The sequence below is a fragment of the Homo sapiens genome, chromosome 3 (assembly GCF_000001405.40).
Source record: "Homo sapiens chromosome 3, GRCh38.p14 Primary Assembly".
NCBI classification, from domain to species: domain Eukaryota; kingdom Metazoa; phylum Chordata; class Mammalia; order Primates; family Hominidae; genus Homo; species Homo sapiens.
The window spans coordinates 160,372,743-160,391,719 of NC_000003.12; the positions used below are offsets into that span (position 1 = coordinate 160,372,743).

General features: G+C 36.6%; 1 protein-coding gene and 1 long non-coding RNA gene across 6 annotated transcripts in view; both read right to left on the reverse strand.

The window, feature by feature from the left end:
* The window catches only part of TRIM59-IFT80 (TRIM59-IFT80 readthrough (NMD candidate)), a 258,294-nt gene that overhangs the window by 145,289 nt on the left and 94,028 nt on the right, over nucleotides 1-18,977 (reverse strand). For 2 of the 3 annotated variants that reach the window (NR_148403.1, NR_148402.1), the window contains exons 3-6: nucleotides 10,695-11,904; nucleotides 8,761-8,976; nucleotides 4,688-4,798; nucleotides 3,070-3,138 (exon numbers count right to left, since the gene is read on the reverse strand). The exons of the other annotated variant lie outside the window; for it this stretch is intronic. This is a non-coding gene — a long non-coding RNA (TRIM59-IFT80 readthrough (NMD candidate)). The remainder of the gene's footprint in view (nucleotides 1-3,069; nucleotides 3,139-4,687; nucleotides 4,799-8,760; nucleotides 8,977-10,694; nucleotides 11,905-18,977) is intronic. 3 annotated transcript variants of the gene reach the window in all.
* Nucleotides 1-18,977, reverse strand: part of IFT80 (intraflagellar transport 80) — a 142,240-nt gene that overhangs the window by 115,757 nt on the left and 7,506 nt on the right. Inside the window, exons 2-6 of one of the 3 annotated variants that reach the window (NM_001190241.2) lie at nucleotides 11,664-11,904; nucleotides 10,695-10,762; nucleotides 8,761-8,976; nucleotides 4,688-4,798; nucleotides 3,070-3,138 (exon numbers count right to left, since the gene is read on the reverse strand). In NM_001190241.2, the coding sequence (NP_001177170.1) occupies nucleotides 3,070-3,097 (28 nt within the window). In that variant the 5' untranslated portion in view covers nucleotides 3,098-3,138; nucleotides 4,688-4,798; nucleotides 8,761-8,976; nucleotides 10,695-10,762; nucleotides 11,664-11,904. Of the gene's footprint in view, nucleotides 1-3,069; nucleotides 3,139-4,687; nucleotides 4,799-8,760; nucleotides 8,983-10,694; nucleotides 11,025-11,663; nucleotides 11,905-18,977 lie in introns of those variants that run through there. The other 2 variants (NM_020800.3, NM_001190242.2) reach the window with 2 other exon arrangements.

The window sequence follows — 18,977 nt, forward strand, 5'->3', positions numbered from 1 at the left end:
ATTTCAAAGTCATTTGATATTAAGGAAAACACATTTTAAATGTTGATGGGTAATATCATTACATGATATGATGAATACATAAGAAAATCAACTGTATTATATGGTATAATCTGTATTTTACCTTTTAAGAAAATCTTGTTTACCCATCTATGGGAGGGCAGTGAGAGGAAGAGCATCACCATCCCCTCTCTAAAATAAACACTGCACACAAAAACCAACTCAAAATGAATCACAGACCAGAATGTAAACACTGAAATTTCACTGTAAGTGAAATTTTTATGGCATGGGATTAGGCAATAGCTTCATCACTAGAATATCAAAAGCAGAAGCAAATTTTGTATTTTTTGTAGAGATGGGGTTTTGCCATGTTGCCCAGGCTGGTCTCAAATTCCTGAGCTCAAGTGATCCACCCATCTTGGCCTCCTGAAGTGCTGGGATTACAGGAGTGAGCCACGATGCCTGGCCAAAATGTCCTGATTTTTAATATTGGGTCTCCACCATGCTAATGGGCCAGATTAAGCTCAGAGGTCATCTATTTGTGATCTCCAATTCTTCATTGTGAACATGTGCTTCCAACCAGCCTTTCCAAGTCTGGAGACTCTGAATGCATTTTCCCCATGAGAATAAAATAAGTAGCAATTTGGTTTCCAGACTCATTATACAGGAAAACTATAGCACTAAACTACTAGCACTATTATCACCTAAACCAGTGATTCCCAGCCTTTTTGGCAGCAGGGACTGGTTTTGTGGAAGACAATTTTTCCATGGACCAGGTAGGGGTGGTTCAGGATAATTCAAGGGCATTACATTTATTTTGCACTTTATTTCTATTATTACATTGTAATATATAATGAAATAATTATACAACTCACCATAACATAGAATCAGTGGGAGCCCTGAACTTGTTTTCCTGCAACAAGATGGTCACTGCTGGGGGTGATGGGAGACAGTGACAGATCATCAGGCATTAGATTCTCATAAGGAGTGAATGACCCAGATCCCTCGTATGCACAGTTCACAATAGGGTTTATGCTTCTATGAGAATCTAATGTCACCACTGATCTGACAGGAGGTGTAGGTCAGGCAGTAATGGAAGTGATGGGGAACAGCTGTAAATACAGATAAAGCTTTACTCACTCGCCCACCCACTGCTCATCTCCTGCTGTACTGCCCAGTTCCTAACAGACAGCAGACAGCTACTGGTCTGTGGCCCAAGGGTTGGGGACCCCTGACATAGACTAAACAATTAACAATGTTTATATTAAACAACTTATTCCAAGTTTCCATTTTAGACTCTGGAACATCTGAAATGGTGAATCCACAGGTAGTAAATGGGAAGGAGATAACAGAAAAATTGAAGGAAGTGGAAGAAGCACTGGGAGGGCACTGGTGAAGGGTCTCGGGAAAGAATTCAAATCTTCAGACTGGCACAGTGGCTCACACCTGCAATCCCAACACTTTGGGAGGCTAAAGCAGGAGGATCACTTGAGCCCAGGAGTTCAAGACCAGCCTGGGAACATGGCAAAATCCCGGCTCTACACATGTACTCCCAGCAACTTGGGAAGCTGAGGTGGCAAGATCGATTGAGTCCAGGAGGAGGAGGTTACAGTGAGCCAAGATGGTGCCACTGTACTCCAGTCGGGAGACAGAGCAAGACCGTCTAAAAAAAAAAAAAGAAAAAAGAAAAGAAAGAAAAAGAAAAAATCTTCCATGGTGGATAGTGGGATGGGCTTTTAGAATTTCTCTGAAGATCTGTGTCATCTACAGGCAACAAATTGATAGAAGAAAGAGAAAAGAAAGGAAAAACGGATATAGCACTTCAGCTGCTGCACACTGTCTCAGTAGTAACAGCAGCTGAAATTCTTGTAGTTCTTCCAAAAGGCCAGTGATCTCTGAAAGAATTCTGTCAATTATTCATAAGTCATTTGTCACAAAGTGAGAATGTCAAATAATGAGTCTTAAAAGAAAAATCTATGAAGCCAAAAGTAAATCCATCTGCCTACTAGGAGATTAAAGTAAGATTTATGTTCTAAAGGTACATTTATTACTAAAGTAACAATAAGTTGACTTTTGCTGTTAACTGAAACTTACCCACGGCTACTTCTATGAACTCTGAATTTTCTACTCATGAATAAATATTCTGCCTTGAGATTATCTGTAGCAAACATTTAAGCTTAGAAAAGAAATACTACTTAGTATTTCTGGTTACCTTTGCTAACATTCAGTTAATATACAGCTAAAGAAATGCAAGTGATTTGAACCTTATCCTAAAAGTAAACATGGTTTTAAAAATAAAATTTGGAAATTTTTGGAAGTCAGTTATCGAAAATGTTTCACAATATGACTTTATCAAATAGTTCTGAGGAATAGTCAGCAAGTTTTTTGGCAACCTAAAGATCAGCTGATACATACTCAGGTAAACATTAAAACTGCTTACTGTTCCTATGTAAAATCTAATTAAGAAAATCTGTTACACAGAAAAAATCATATGTAATCTAACTTCCAATAGGAAGGACCATTGGATTGACTTTATGGCCACTCCTTTCTATTAACATAAAAAATTAAGATGCTCCTCTAAATAGTGTGGTTTCAGATTCTTAGTGTGTCTGTTCCCCTCCATCAGTATAGAAATCAAACATACAACTTAATTTGGAAAGGGTGTTAATATTATGAAGTTATCGGGGATTTTTAAGTAAGGAGATACTCAATATCTTTTCGTACTATGATTTACTTAACTAGACCTCCAATTCTATATAAGATATGCTTCAAACGTTTCACAATTATTTTTTGAAAATATTTAGCTTGTAACTGCCTTTCTAGAGATTCACTAACATAAAAAAAAGCCCTTGAGTATTTCCTATATTTCTTGGCTTGAAATAATAGTGTTACCATGGTACATCAGGTACCAAGCAAAGAAAGACAAAACAGTGTAAAATATAAGAGATTACTGTTTTGAACTCAACCAAAGTCAGTCTCAACCACCGTATTAGATTGTTTCTAAAGGAAAACTTTAAGGCATTTTTGTATTGTATAATTTGCAAAAATGAAATTGTCAATTGTAAAACATACCTTGCTGAGCTAAAGTTGATCTAAGCATCCCAGTCTTTGACCAAATTTTTATTTGTCCATCTTCTCCAACTATACAGGGAAAAAAAAATTAATCAGTATTTTTACCTATAGAAAATAAATTTAAACATTAAATTTGCATATAAGAATCAACAGTATCTACCGCATATTCTTTTTTCTTCTAGGCTTCCTGAAATCATGGAATATTACTACATATTTAAAATTCAGAAACAGTTTAAATGACAGAGTACTTTATAACTATCATTTAATAGAAATTACGTTGAAACGATTTTATCAAAGTAGCTTAACTTTCATGACGAAAATTTTTATTTCCTTCAATCTTAGAAGACTTGTAAGTATATTACTCAAATAATGTTTCCTTTGTCACTGCAGTCTCCATCTTAGAATTCTAAGAAAAGTGTTTCCAGTGTAATAAGAAGAGCTGCAGCCAAATTCCAGTGAGTTGGGGACTGAATGAAGTGAGGTAATAGACTACTCTTTTGAACAGCTTTGCTGAAAAAGGGAGAAAGAAAATAGTTGCAGGTAGAGAGAGCTGTTTGTTAAGAGAGGGATTTCTATTTCTTCTTAATTTTTAAGATGGGTGACATCCGAACATATTTACATGCTGACAAACCATTGGAAAACATGTTAAAGATACAAGTAAGAGAAGGGCCAATTCACTGAGGAAAGTCCTAGAGAAGGCCCACAGTATAGGTATGGTGGTTTTAAAACACATCCTCAAATTCTTTCTTATTCTTCACTTCAAGAGGCACAGTTTAATTTCCCTCTCTTCCACTGTGGGCTGTACTTAGTGACTTGCTAAGTTAACAGAATATAACTGAAACAGAGTATAATATCTGAGGGTACACTACAAAAGATACAGTAGCTTCTACCTGGCTCTCTTTTGGATCACTGGGAGACACCAGCTGTCCTATTTAAAAACACTTAAGCAACCCTATGGAGATGCCCATGTGGCAAGGAATTAATTAAGGTCTCCTGTCAAAGCCAGAGAACTAATGCCTCCTGCCAACAACCATGTGAGTAAGACATCTTGGAAGTGGATCCTCCAGCCCCAGACAAGCCTTCATATGACTGCCGCCGCATCCAACAATTTGACCAGAACCTCATGAGAGGCTCTGAGTCAGACAGAACCACCCACCTAAACTGATCCCTGACCCACAGAAACTATCAGGTACTATATGCTTATGATTTTAAGTCACTAACTATTAAGAGTCATTTGTTATGAGCAATAGAAAACTAATGTAATAGGTTGAATCATTAGAGTAGGGCAGGGGATTGGAAACAGACAGAATGGGGATAATGGTCAGTTAAATGAGAATATTTGGAATTTTCAAATTTTAAAGAATTACAACTTTTATTTATTCCATACGTGACCATTCCAAAAGCCTTCTTTGACAGAACAGTCTCCAAAGGTCACATAAGAAAATGATTAATATAACATTCTGAATTGTAACATTTATATAGCAGTGTAGAACAATACTATGCCAATTATTTGCTATTACACAATGAAAGACACTATTGCTAAATGAAAATATTCTGTTTCTTTGGAAATTTTTCTTTAAAATATTCATTTCAAATGTCATTTTTACAGACAACTTACCTGTAACTAATGCTGTTCCTTCATAATTCCATCTTCCTGCAAGTACTGCTCCACAGTGAGCTTCTACACTTTTTTCCACTCTTCCTAACTTGGAAATCAGATGAAATTTACCTGAAAGAAATTACATTTGAAAAATCTATTTTATTTATTCAATCAACAAAGCACCTACTACTAGACTAAGTAATAGGCACTAAAGGCATAAAGGCAAATATTAACATTATAATTATTCTTAATATCACATATAAATCTATTGGAAAATAGGCACAAAAACAAAATTATTTAAATATTTTAAAATAAATTGAAAATGCATATGCTTACGTGGTTCAAAATAATTATACATGTTCATAACAGGGAAAAACCCAAATTCATAAACCTTTTGATTTAGTTAATACAATTTAAATACCTATGGTCTGGGTATATGTCTATGCTTCAGAAACGATGTGCCAATAAATATACCACACCTATGGATGAGAAAGTGTTTTAAATTACCAGCTGTATATTACTAGACTTAATAATCATTCGTAAACCACAATGATCCTTTCTTGGCTTCTTGTATCACTTATTCTTTGCACTGTTGACTTGTCTCTCTGACATCTCTTATATAATTAGCTTATGTCCTTTAAAGTTTTACAGTGTTTTTACTTTTTGCCAATATATGTACATACTTCTGCAACTAAGTGGCTTGCTTTTGTCTACCTGTTGCCTGACACAGTATAAAATTATATAAGGCAAGTATTTTAAACTTGGGATTATCCATTTTATTATTTTGGTTCTTCTCCTTTATACCTTTTCCAGCTTTTTTATAGCCTATAAAAAAAAAAAAAAGTAAAGACTGCAAAATTGTGCTTAAATGGAAGACTTTCTTGACATTTCTCTTGACCCTCCCTTGGCCACATCACAACAGAATTTTATGCCCCTCTGATTTATCATAGCACTATATACATATGTCTATTATGTTATTTGTTTCAAGGTTTTATATTCACAGTTCTTAGCTCTGTCCATTGAAAGGGCCTTGAAGCAAATACACCCCATTGGAATGAGCACAGCTAGCACTGTTATCTTGTTTTTTTAAATACCATCAACCACCAGAAAAAGAACAGGTCTCTGTGGAAAATGGCTGATTTGGGGGCTGGGACTAAGAAAGTACAAGATAAGCCTGGAACATCTTGTGCCAGCAAGGAAGTGCTCAAAAAATTATGAGAACACATATAAAATTTAAAAAAAAAAAATCACTGTAGCTGGCTTGATGGGGCTCCCACTGGCCAAATCTAGGGCACTTTTAACATCAAAATTTAAAAATGATAATAATAATATATTTATGAAATAAAATGAGAATCTACAAGTCTAATCTGACCCCAAAAAAACAAATAAATATATGGGCATGGGACAGGAAGCTCTTCCTTGGAGTAGAATACCAACTAATCAATATGGAAGAAATTACGGAGTTGGAAAAATCACCATTTGGCAAACTATCTTAGTAATAAATGACTCAGCCAAGAGTCATCAATAGATGCTAAGAGAGTGGGAGGCAGTTTGATGAAGAAGATAATATTTTTACATAGTCTCAAAGTATCTTTTCATAAATTATTAAAAGGAATAAATAGTAACTTTACAGAGATTAACTTAATGAACATGAACTTATTAACTTATAATTAAGGTTAACATCACCAATAATGGGTCAAACCAACATCATAAATCTCCTAGTCTGATGCCCCGAGTATTCCTGCTAAGGACATATAAATTGAATCTAATCATGAGGAAACATCAGACAAAAACAAATTGAAGAACTATAAAATAACAGGCATATATTCTTCAACACTGTCAAGATCACAAAAGACTGAAGAGTTGTTCCAGATTAAAGGAAGCTAAAGAGACACAACAAAAACAATATGTTATCCTATACCAGCAAAAATAAACTTCTATGGAAAATTAGAATGATTGTTAAAATTTAAATATAAACTATAGATTAGATAATAGCATTGCATCAGTGTTAAATGTCCTGATTTTTATCAACAAATTGTGGCAATGTAACAGAAAATTCTTATTCTTAGGAAATGCATTGAAGTATTCATGGTTAAAAGTACATGTCTGCAAACTGCTCTCACATCTTTCAGAAAAAGGGTGTGTGCTGGGGGCGAGGAGGGTTTGTGTAAAAAGAAACAGAGCCAATACTTTGTCCCAACATATATGGGACAAAATGTTAAACTAGTGAATCTGGATAAAGGACATGCAGGAATTGTTTGTACAATTCTTAAAACTTTTCTGTAAATGCAAAATTATATCAAAATAATTGTTTAAGTCAAACACTCCCTTTATCACCTGAGGTAAACTAAATTCTAGCTGTGGTTCAGGGCCAATCTTCTAAGTGCCAGGCACTCTACCAAGTGATTTTACACATGTATCTCATTTAATCAAGTTTCTGAAAAACAAAGTTTTAAAAAACTACCACAAGTCTCTCGGTAAATAAGGTGTAATCTGATACTACTGTTTGTCCTAACATCCTTTCCATCTTCAGGTTACAAAAGCCCTCTTCTCTTTCTCTTTTCCTTTGCATGTGGATGGCCTGAGGCTGGATACGCTCAATCAGTGTCCCATTGTCTTTTTTTCTTTTTTTTTTTTTTTGAGACGGAGTCTTGCTCTGTGCCCAGGATAGAGTGCAATGGCGCAATCTCAGCTCACTGAAACCTCTGCATTCCAGGTTCAAGCAATTCTCCTATCTCAGCCTCCCAAGTAGCTGGGACTATAGGCATGTGCCACCATGCCTAGCTAAAATTTTTTTGTATTTCAGTACAGACGGGGGTTTCATCATGTTGCTCAGGCTGGTCTCGAACTCCTGACCTCAAATGATGCGCCCACCTCAGCCTCCCAAAGTCCATTTCTCTTGACTAAACTGATTGACTCAGTGATGGGCATATGACCCAAGCTCATTAAGGGTCCCTCTGCAAGCTGCCTGCACGAGATACTGAGGAAGAAGCAGTCTTACAAAGTATGATGAGCCTTGGGCTACTGGCCACCGTCATACTCACCATCATGTTCACCATGTGCAGAGAGTCTACCCAAGAGATGGTGAGAACAGGGACCCGATGCAACTAGTGCTTGATCTACCCCTACAGCTAGGTGAACCAAAAAACTCCATTTGTGCTTAAGTTAGCCAAATAAGTTTCTGTTACTTTCAATCAATGTACTCCTAATTGAAACAGCAGGTAAAGTATAACACAGATGAAAACAGTTCACGTATTTCTAAGAAAACAAATATAAAAACATACCCTTAAAAAGTGAAAAAAAAAATCATACTTGTTATTCACCAATAAGAAAGCTGCGGTCAAATTATAAAACTCTTCAACTCTGTAACTGAAAATTAACATGTACTGGAAAATAAAGTATGTATTTTAACAGATACCTTACTAAATGAATAGGTATATCTTTTCAGTGTGGTTATATTAAGTTAAATTTGAAGAATTTAGGAACTAAAACTATGATAACAGCTTAACTCAACTCATAAGAGTACTAAAAAAGTAAAGCCAGCTGGGCATGGTGGCTCATACCTGTAATCCCAGCACTTTGGGAGGCCAAGGAAGGAAGATTGCTTGAGGCCAGGAGTACAAGACTAGCCTGGGCAACAAGATGAGACCCTGTCTCTACAAAAAAAATGTTTTAATTAACCAGATGTAATAGTGTGTGCCTGTAGTCCCAGCTACTCAAGAGGCTGAGGCAGGAAGATTGTGTGAGCCCAGGAGTTTGAAGCTACAGTGAGCTATGATCACACCACTGCACTCTGGCCTGGGCAACAGAGTGAGACCCCATCTCTAAATATATATATATATATATATATATATTAAAGCCAAAGACCCATATTCAATCCTAGTATATGCCAGTTAAACTAACTTTCTTCCATGACAATAATTTCATAGCCCATACACAAACCAAGTGACTATTCAGAAAAGAAATACAATATGTGGATAAAAATATGCAGATCCACAAATACCAGTTTTGTAAAACAACTCAAAGCATAAATCATACTATTAAGTCTTTTAAATACAATGGCGAGCATATAATGTTTATTTAAAACTTACCATCAGAACTTGTGAGGACAAAGCTTTCTGCCTGGGTTTGTTTCTTTACACCCAAACTTTTTGGAAACCAGTGAAAATCAATAGGGTAAATATCATCAGGAAGCTTTACTATTTGAGTTGTTTCACTGGTTAACAAGTTCCACTTCACTATCTGGTGATCATCACTACATGAATACAGCTCTTCAGCAGTAGTCCAGCCCACACAGCTTACTAATTCTTGATGTGTCACCATGTTAAAGAGACATAAAACATACAAAAGTCTTTAATCTTAATGAATAATTCACAGATGCAGATTATAAGGTATAAGTAAAATAGGGTCAAATGGTTTCAAGATTCTAAATGTATTTTCCATTTTATGACTGGTATTTTTTTCTATATAAAAGAAAATAAGCATCTATTAAAAGAATTGTAAAAATGGAAAGCAAGAAAGAAATCCAGATGCCAAAAGGTGGGGGAGAAAAGATCTGACCACATGAAAATTTAAAACTTGTGTTATACAATATTCTATACACAAAGCCAAAAGGTATACAAAAGAGACTTAGTAGATCAAAAGGTATCAAAGAATCTACACTGAACTGTTGGGGGATAGGTAGGGAGCAAAGGGAACTATACTTTTTTCTTTATATATGTCTGTATCATGTAAGTTATTAAAATAAGCATGTATTCTTTTGCTAAGGAAAAAATAATCAAGTGTCAAAACAAGACTGAAATCTAACAGTAGGCTATCCTTTTCAATCACATATTATCATAACAATTCACCTAGGAAAGAACTTATGGTTTAACAGCTGAAACTAAAATCTTACCAAACTTTTTTTAAATTTTTCATTTTATTTCTTCACTTATTTTTAATTGACAATACCAAACTTTCCTACATTAAAATTAGGAAATAATTCAATTATAATTTACTTCACTTATAAGATGCATAGTGCTGGATGAGATATGATCCCTCAAATTTTTACTTTATTTAACCCATTTTTTCAGCTCTAATTTATCAGAAGAATTTCTATGTAAGCTGAGATGCTCAAGTAGCCCTCACTTCCTCCATCAGGACAGGGTGATTACCCTAGCAGAATTGTGTACCTAAAAGGCATTTCAGTTTGTTATTTACAAAGGATGTTTTCTCTTGCTACGTCTGGATTTCTATATTGCCAGATTATTCCTGGTTGAGTTGTTTGTTCTTATTGTTATGATATAATCCTTTTATTTCCTTCTTTTCTCACCAATACTTTTACTGTCTTATCTGAGCAATAATACAATTGCTTTTTCTAAGGAAATGCAGACAATGCGCCTAATTATTCTAGGATGTTCCAAGATTTTTTAATACTTCAAAATACAATAGATTAAGCAGAAACCAAAAAGATAAAGAGAGATTATAGAAAGATCTTAAGAGTCTGCACAAAAAGGTAATAAAGAGACACCAGAATACTCAAAACTCAAAACACAATCTAAACAAAAGGACAACAGACCATTCCTGAAAAAACTGTTGTATTATTATTGCTGTCGCCTAAACAATGTTAGGTAAAACCTAAAATGGGAGAAGCTTAGGTAAAACCTAGAAAGGAAGAAAACTCACACAAACAAATATGTACACATCTCAAACCAAAAATCATTAGCTTATCCTTATATAAATTGCTATAAGTACATGCCAGACGTCCATGACATTATCTTCAAACTCACAGGTCAACTAAAATTATCGTAGAAATGAGAAGACTGCCAGATCAAGAAAGTCTAAAAACATTGTTATTCTTTGGCTTGAAAGGTAAAGGCAGACAGTAGACATGGTCAAAATCTATAAAATTGTGTATGGTGTGAACTCTTGAAAGCACATTTTTTTTGAAAAGACAGTAAAAACTATTTAAGGGGGAATAAAAATAATTACATCTTCACTTAATAGTTAAATAAGCAAACAAGATAATATAAATGAAAACACCTACCAATTTAAAATGTCTGACCAAATGTTTAAATCAGTGCTTTCCTAGTTCTGATGAAGGACCAGATTTTTCTTTATTTCGAATCCATTGCATATGGATATTTCGTAAGATACAATAAAAATAAAATATTAGAAAAATTGGACATTATAACAATGTCAAATTGCTACAAAAATTTCTCAGCCCTTACTTTCAATTTATTTACCTATTCTTTCACAGACCTGCAATAAAGTCTACAAAGGATACTTTGAGCAGAATTAGTCTAAATGTCTAAGAATGATGATAGTGGGGCCTGTCATATCTCCTTGACACATAACTGGGGACTCTTGCTGACAAAATATAGGGTCATGTGTTTGAGAAAATATTATTAATTGCCACCTTCCCATGTGAAATAATGAGGATCTGACTGCTCAGATTTCCCCAACTTGTCCTTCACTTTATCATGAATGTAAAGAAATAGAGCACAGTGGAATGAATACATGCTAGATCACACTAGCAAAGAAACAGTTTGGTTTAAAAAATGCTTCATTTTGGCCAGGCGCGGTGGCTCATGCCTGTAATCCCAGCACTTTGGGAGGCTGGGGCGGGTGGATCACCTGAGGTCGAGAGTTCGAGACCAGCCTGGCCAACATGGTGAAACCCCGTCTCTACTAAAAATACAAAAATTAGCCGGGCATGTTGGCGGGTGCCTATAATCTGAGCTGCTCAGGAGGCTGAGGCAGGAGAATCACTTGAACCCAGGAGGTAGAGGGTTGCAGTGAGTTGAGATCACACCACTGTACTCCAGCCTGGGTGACAGAGTGAGACTCTGTCTCAAAAAAAAAAAAAAAAAGCTTCTTTTTAAGATCCTACTAAAGTAAACAAAAACTGCTTTTTAAGTATTTAAGTATAGTACTTAAGTAGAGTAAGAAAAACGTCAGTAAGAATTTTAAAATAAGATTTATAGCAAACGGTTCACTTTGGAGAATTACTTACAACACATGATCTTAAATACTTTAAAACAATTTAGGTAAACAGCCACTAAAGGAATGAAAAAAAAAATCTATTCTTCAACTAGGATATAAAATAGAGAAACTTTTAACAATACTATAATTAAGAAAATCCAATAAGATTTATAAGCATTAAAAGGATATGCTTTGGTTCTTTTAAAAGAGATATCTTTAGTCTCATGACTCCACTTCCAGCAAAAATTTAAGATGCCACTTGATTGTATTTACTGTAAAAATAAAAGGAGAGAAAATATAAAGTCAGCATTAAAAACAAATGTACGTATACAAACACAAAAGGCAAACAAAACATCATTGCACCCCAACGAGCACCTTCAGTCCTTCTGACATCAAGTACATGGAAAGAGAAAAAAAACTAGTGGGTGTGCCAATCCTAACAAGGGATGACGGAGAGCTTTGGGCTGAACCCCAGGAGTCCTCTAAACCTGCCTGAGACAGATCTACGCAGAACACCACTAGGTAAATCTGGTCAGGTAAAGAATTTCCATGTCCTGAGGCCAAATAAAAAGATTCCACAAACTGGGAACTCTTCAATTGCAAATCAATTTTGGTCCTGTCTATTGGATACAAATATCCAAGGTGTGATTGAGGGCTAAGCTACAATTCTAGAATCCATGTGGAAAAATACAACATCATAAAACTAGTGGCCCAATCTGGGGTTGACATTCTGCAGTGGGGCAGATACACTGCCCAACAGTTACGGTTACCACAGTGACAATGTGAAAAATAGGTGACTTATTTAAGGAAGAGGTAATAAATTGCTTATAAAAGTTATGTAAAAATCACAGTGTAATTGCCACATAAAAACTTAGGAAAAGAAGAATAACATTCCCCAAACAGCCATATCATCAAAAGACACAAATCATTGCTATGAATATAGTTGTTGTATAAAAAAAAGAGAAATCAAGAAAATGCTAAATTGTCTGAGTCCGATTTACATTTACAGAATTCTGAGTAACATCACTAACCTAACTAGGCAAATGTAAATCAAATGAAAGTGTAATTAAAGGGAAAAAATCCTCTTTACTAAGTTGAAAATTACTGCTAACTACATCAAAGGAGGTACTGACTATAGATAAGAATTCAGTAGGCCTCTCTTAGATAATTTCTCATTCTCATGAATCCAAGAACCTTTAGATCAGCAAGCTACTAAATAAAGCTGTATTTCAAAGCACTCTTTTCACTTCTTTCTCTTCCAGTTCTCTTAAGGTGATTTCTGTTGAACTTCAAAAGTATGAAACTATGTGGAGCACAGCCAGAGCTAGAATACAACGTCTCCCAGGCACACTTCTTAAGTTCACTTTTTTGGTCTTTAGGAGTTCTCCACCTTCCTCCAAACTCCCTCTTCCATCAGGCCCCCACCAATTAGACAGGGGAAAAAAGACTAATAACATTTTACGAAATGCTGCTTTTTCACAATAATTGAAATTTACTCAGCTTATAAGGATTTTAAAAGAAGAAAGGCAGATAAATATTTGCTTCTGGAAATGAGAATACAATAGATAACAACAATACACATAAAAACTGAATATACTATTACAATCAGAAACTTAAAAGACATGATGTTATTCTACATCAGAAAACCTCAAACTGCCAAAATCCATAATAATTAGGATAATTCCTGATGAGAATAAATCATAATCCTCTATAAATAGTAGAAGCAGTATGGTTTTTACAAGAAAGGAATCACTAACAATTCAGAAACATCATGCCAAGGAATCAGAGAAAGTAAGACAATGGCATTCTAACACTGGGAAGATTCTCCCTTACTCAGAAAGATTTTCCTCACACAATTCCATTTATCTGAGACCATCTGTATGAATGACATGTGTACTTTCATGTGGGATTGAATGAGGGAATAAAAGAAAAGTAATGTTAAAACATAGCCAATTTGGGGAAGTGCAGAGCTGCCTGAACGCTGCATTGAGGTGTTTTTATCTGCCTAAAGGGATTGATCATGAGGATCTGACTAACCAGTGGTATTGGGGCAGGGGTTGGGTTTAGATAATAGAAAGACAATTTTGAGGGTATAGGTAACTTTGCAACTTTACATAGGGAGCAAGTAGCAGCAACCATGTCTTTGCTACTAAAAATCATTTATAAGTTGTTTTTGGTCCAGTGTGGGTCAACATTTATGAGGCTTGAGAGGAAAAAATGGGCCCAACGAAATCTGAGAGTCCAACCACTAAAATACACAGCAAATCTGGTCACTTCTCAGCACCTCCATCATAATCCAAAGCCACCACCATCCCCTGCCTCAATTATTGCAGTGGCCTCAAAATTGATCTTCCTATTCCTACATTTACCCCTACAAACTATTCTAAATACACCAGCCAGTAATTCTTTTAAAGCTAAGTCAGAATATGAAGGCCAGTATGCCTAAAATAAAATGAGTGAGGGACTGGCAGGAAATTAGGGAAGGAGAGGGTGGGACACAACATGCAGGGTCTTGGAAAGTCATAATAAAAGCTTTAGTTTTTCTTCTGAATGAACCAAGAAGCCAGTGGAGAAGTTATGAGCAAATAAGCAATATGAACTGACTTACATTTTAAATGGATGCAATGGATGGTATACAAAAAAGAGCCTATCAGGAGGGAAAATGAATAAGACTGGACGCAGTAAGACCAGTTAGGATTTCAATACCCCAAAAGAGAAATGAAAGTGACTTAGATAAAGGACAAGGAAGGCAACAGTACAAGTAGCATGAAGTAGTCATATGCTAAATATATTTTGAGGAAAGATTCCAGAAGATTTGCTGGTGAATTCAGTTTAAGAAAAACAGTTGTGGCCGGGTGCGGTGGCTCACGCCTGTAATCCCAGCACTTTGGGAGGCCGAGGCAGGCGGATCACGAGGTGAGGAGTTCGAGACCAGCCTGACCAACGTGGTGAAACCCCATCTCTATTAAAAATACAAAAATTAGCCGGGTGTGGTGGCGCATGCCTGTAATCCCAGCTACTCAGGAGGCTGAGGCAGGAGAATAGCTTGAACCCGGGAAGTGGAGGTTGCAGTGAGCCGAGATCACGCTACTGCACTCCAGCCTGGGCGTCAGAGTGAGACTCAGTCTCAAAAAACAAAAAAGAAAAACAGTAGTAAAAAATGACTGTAAAGTTTCAATAGGTGGAATGGAGTTGCCATTTATTGAAATGAGGAAGATTGAGAAACAGGTTGGAATGGGGTGATATCAAACATTCTGTTTTGGATATGTTAAGTGCAAGGTTTCTATTAGACAACCCAATGGAGAAGTCAAAGAGAAATGAGATATAATACAGTAAGTCTGGAGTCAAGTGGGAAGTTGGAGTTGCAGATATCAATTAGATATCAATTTGAGGGTTGTCAGCAAAAAGATCATATTCAAAGCCATGGAATAAGATGAAATTACCAAAGAGACTATGAAAAAGTGGTAGATTCAATGGCCTGGAAATCCTACTGAAGTCTTTAGAATTGTTGGCATTAAGATTCCAGAAGAAGTTAACTAGCAAAAAGAAGTGGAGATAGACAATGGGATACTTAAAACAGATTTTAGAGCCAGTATAGATATTGGTAATGATAAGATAGGTTATGACTGTGAAAGTGGGTGGCTGAGGTCAAGGAACTGACAGGCCAGGGATTTATTTGTGGACATTTTAATGATGTCAAGATAATGACAAGAATAGTAGTAGAGATAAGGACAATTAGCCGCATGCTAAAATATTCATTGAATGAGGGAAGAGCAAAGACATATGCAGATGACCGCATAAAAGCACAGCAGAGAATGGTTTAATCTGGTAGGACTTGTTTCTTTTTTTTTTTTTTTCAGTGGCAAATTCTTCCAAGCATTTAATGAAAAAATCACATCAATTACAAACAAACTCTTCCAGAAAAGATAAGCCTAAGAAACATTGTCCAGAACATTGCATCAATACACCACCATTACTCTGATATCAAAACTGGACAGGGGCATCACAAGTCAAGAAAAGTACAGAAAAATATCCCTCAGGAGCAAAAATGTGGAAAGCCTTAAGGAACTTTTAACAAGCAGAATCTAGCAATATATACTAAGGAAAATACATCATGACCGTGGTAGGCAAAATAATGGTCTCAGAAAGATGTCATGTCCTAACCCCCAGAACCTATAAATATACATATTATATTATTATATATGTAACATATAAGTATATTACATAAAATATATTTATGTAATTAATAATATATAAATACATTCTATATAAATATATATAGAGAGAAAACGTTAGGTAGCTAAAAAGAACTAATGTTTCATATGGAAAGTAAATTTCATATTCCAGTGATCTTAAAATAGGACAATTATTCTGGATCATCCAGTGAACCCAAATAAATATACAAGGCCCTTAAATGTAGAAGAGGGAAGCAGAAGAAAAGTCAGCATCACAGCAATGTGACATGAGAAAGACTCAACTGGCCATTGCTAGCTTTTAAGATGTAAAGGGGTTACAAGCCTAGTAATGAGGACAGCTTCTAGAGGCTGGAAAGGGCCAGAAAACAAATTCTCCCCTAGAGATTCTAGAAAGAAACACAGTTCTGTCAACACCTTGATATCAACATAACCCAAGTCAGATTTCTCATCTACAGAGTTGTAATATAATAGAGTTGGGTATTTAAAGCCCTTTAATTTATGGTAATTTGTTACAGCAATAATATGAAATTAATACATGGGCCTTAATGGGTGGGACCAAGAATTAAAGCTGAGATAAGCCATTATGAGGTTCCATTCAACCTTTCCAGGCTTAAGAACAGGCCAAATTGAACTGTTAAATGGAGAAGTGATGGGGATAATTACCCTTTTTCTAAATAGATCTCATAATGATTTTCAGTCATCTACTTAGATTTATATAGAAAAATGGTGATTGAAATCATCCTTAAAAAATGATTTTCAATTTTTTATTATTATTATACTTTAAGTTTTAGGGTACATGTGCACAATGTGCAGGTTAGTTACATATGTATACATGTGCCATGCTGGTGTGCTGCACCCATTAACTCGTCATTTAGCATTAGGTATATCTCCTAAAGATATCCCTCCCCCCTCCCCCCACCCCACAACAGTCCCCAGAGTGTGATGTTCCCCTTCCTGTGTCCATGTGTTCTCATTGTTCAATTCCCACCTATGAGTGAGAATATGCGGTGTTTGGTTTTTTGTTCTTCCGATAGTTTACTGAGAATGATGATTTCCAATTTCATCCATGTCCCTACAAAGGACATGAACTCATCATTTTTTATGGCTGCATAGTATTCCACGGTGTATATGTGCCACATTTTCTTAATCCAGTCTATCATTGTTGGACATTTGGGTTGGTTCCAAGTCTTTGCTATAGTGAATAGTGCTACAATAAACATACGTGTGCATGTGTCTTTATAGCAGCATGATTTATAGTCCTTTGGGTATATACCCACTAATGGGATGGCTGGGTCAAATGGTATTTCTAGTTCTAGATCCCTGAGGAATCGCCACACTGACTTCCACAAGGGTTGAACTAGTTTACAGTCCCACCAACAGTGTAAAAGTGTTCCTATTTCTCCACATCCTGGACTTGTTTCAAAGGGACCAGGAGATTTTAGACAGGAAGGAGAAACAGAATCAACTGTCCAGATACAGTAACGAGAGATAAAACTCTGACATATGGGAGTTTGGGAGGCAAAATAGCTTCTACTTGAGAGATCTATAAGAAAAGCAGTTTCCAGGGACAGGCATGGTGGCTCATGCCTGTAATCCCAGCACTTTGGGAGGCCGAGGCGGGCGGATCAGCTGAGGTCGGGAGTTTGAGACCAGTCTGACAAACATGCAGAAACCCTGTCTCTACTAAAAATAAAAAATTAGCTGGGCATGGTGGTGCATGCCTATAATCCCTGCTACTCAGGAAGCTGAGGCAGGAGAATCGCTTGAACCCGGGAGGCAGAGGTTGCAGTAAGCCGAGATCGCACCATTGCACTCCAGCCTGGGCAACAAGAGTGAAATTCCGTCTCAAAAAAAAAAAAAGAAAAAGAAAAGAAAAGCAGTTTCCTTAGGAAACAACCAGATTTAAGTTAGACTTTGAGAGTAAAGGGATCATTCAGAATAAAAGTGGAGGACTGATTTGGCTAATGACACACAGTGAGTTCCAAAAAAACTTAGATGGTGAAGAACTAATGGTTTAAGATAGATGGTTGGAGATGGTAGAAACAGCTGGCTATCCTGCAATATCCATTCATCCCTGCTTCTGTGGTATGAATTTGAAGTTTTGCTATACATCTGGCCACCTAGAACAAAGACTATGTTTCCTAGCTGCCCTTGAAACTAGGTGTGGCCACACAAGGCATTAATAATACTGAAACCAACAGTGGCTATTATAATATCATCAACCTACTGGCCCAATCTGGATTTTATATTCTGTGAGGGGTAGAAATGAGGTAAGAGGCAGGACTCAACTCCGGAGGCAGAGCTCAGACACGGGACCAGATTGGGGACTGGCTAAAACACAGAAGAGGTGAAAGCACCTCTCTGTAAGAAATGCCTATCAGTATGCCATATCAGTTTACTATTGCCATGGTAACACCAGGAAGTTACCTGTTTTTCTAGAAATTTCTGCATAGCCCACTTCTTAATTTGCATATAGCTAAAAGTGGGCACAAATATGACTGCAGAAGTGCCTATGAGCTGCTCCTCTGGGCACACTACCTATGGGGTAGCCCTGCTCCGCAAGGAACAGTACCTCTGCTGCTGCTATACACTGCTGCTTCAATAAAAGTTGCTGTATAACACCACCAGCTTGCCCTTGAATTCTTTCTTGGGCCATCCCAAGAACACTCCTGGGCTAACCCCCAGTTTTGGAGCTTGCCTGCCCTGCATCAGATATACTGCCCAACAGTAATAGTACGTACCTAAGTTCACATTGCCTAATTTCACAGTGAGTTATCTAAGGAACCCATTTCATTACTTCTTATAAACGTTACATAAAATTGCCCGGCACAGTGGCTCACGCCTGTAATCCCAGCACTTTGGGGGGCCGAGGCAGGTGGATCACAAGGTCAGGAGATCGAGACCATCCTAGCTAACACAATGAAACCCCGTCTCTACTAAAAATACAAAAAATTAGCCGGGGTGGTGGCACACACCTGTAATCCCAGCTACTCAGGAGGCTGAGGCAGGAGAATCGCTGGAACTCAGGAGGTGGAGGTTGCAGTAAACCGAGATCACACCACTGCACTCCAGCCTGGGCAACAAAGAGAGACTCTGTCTCAAAAAAAAAGTTATATAAAATCACAGCATAATTGGCAAATAAAAACTCG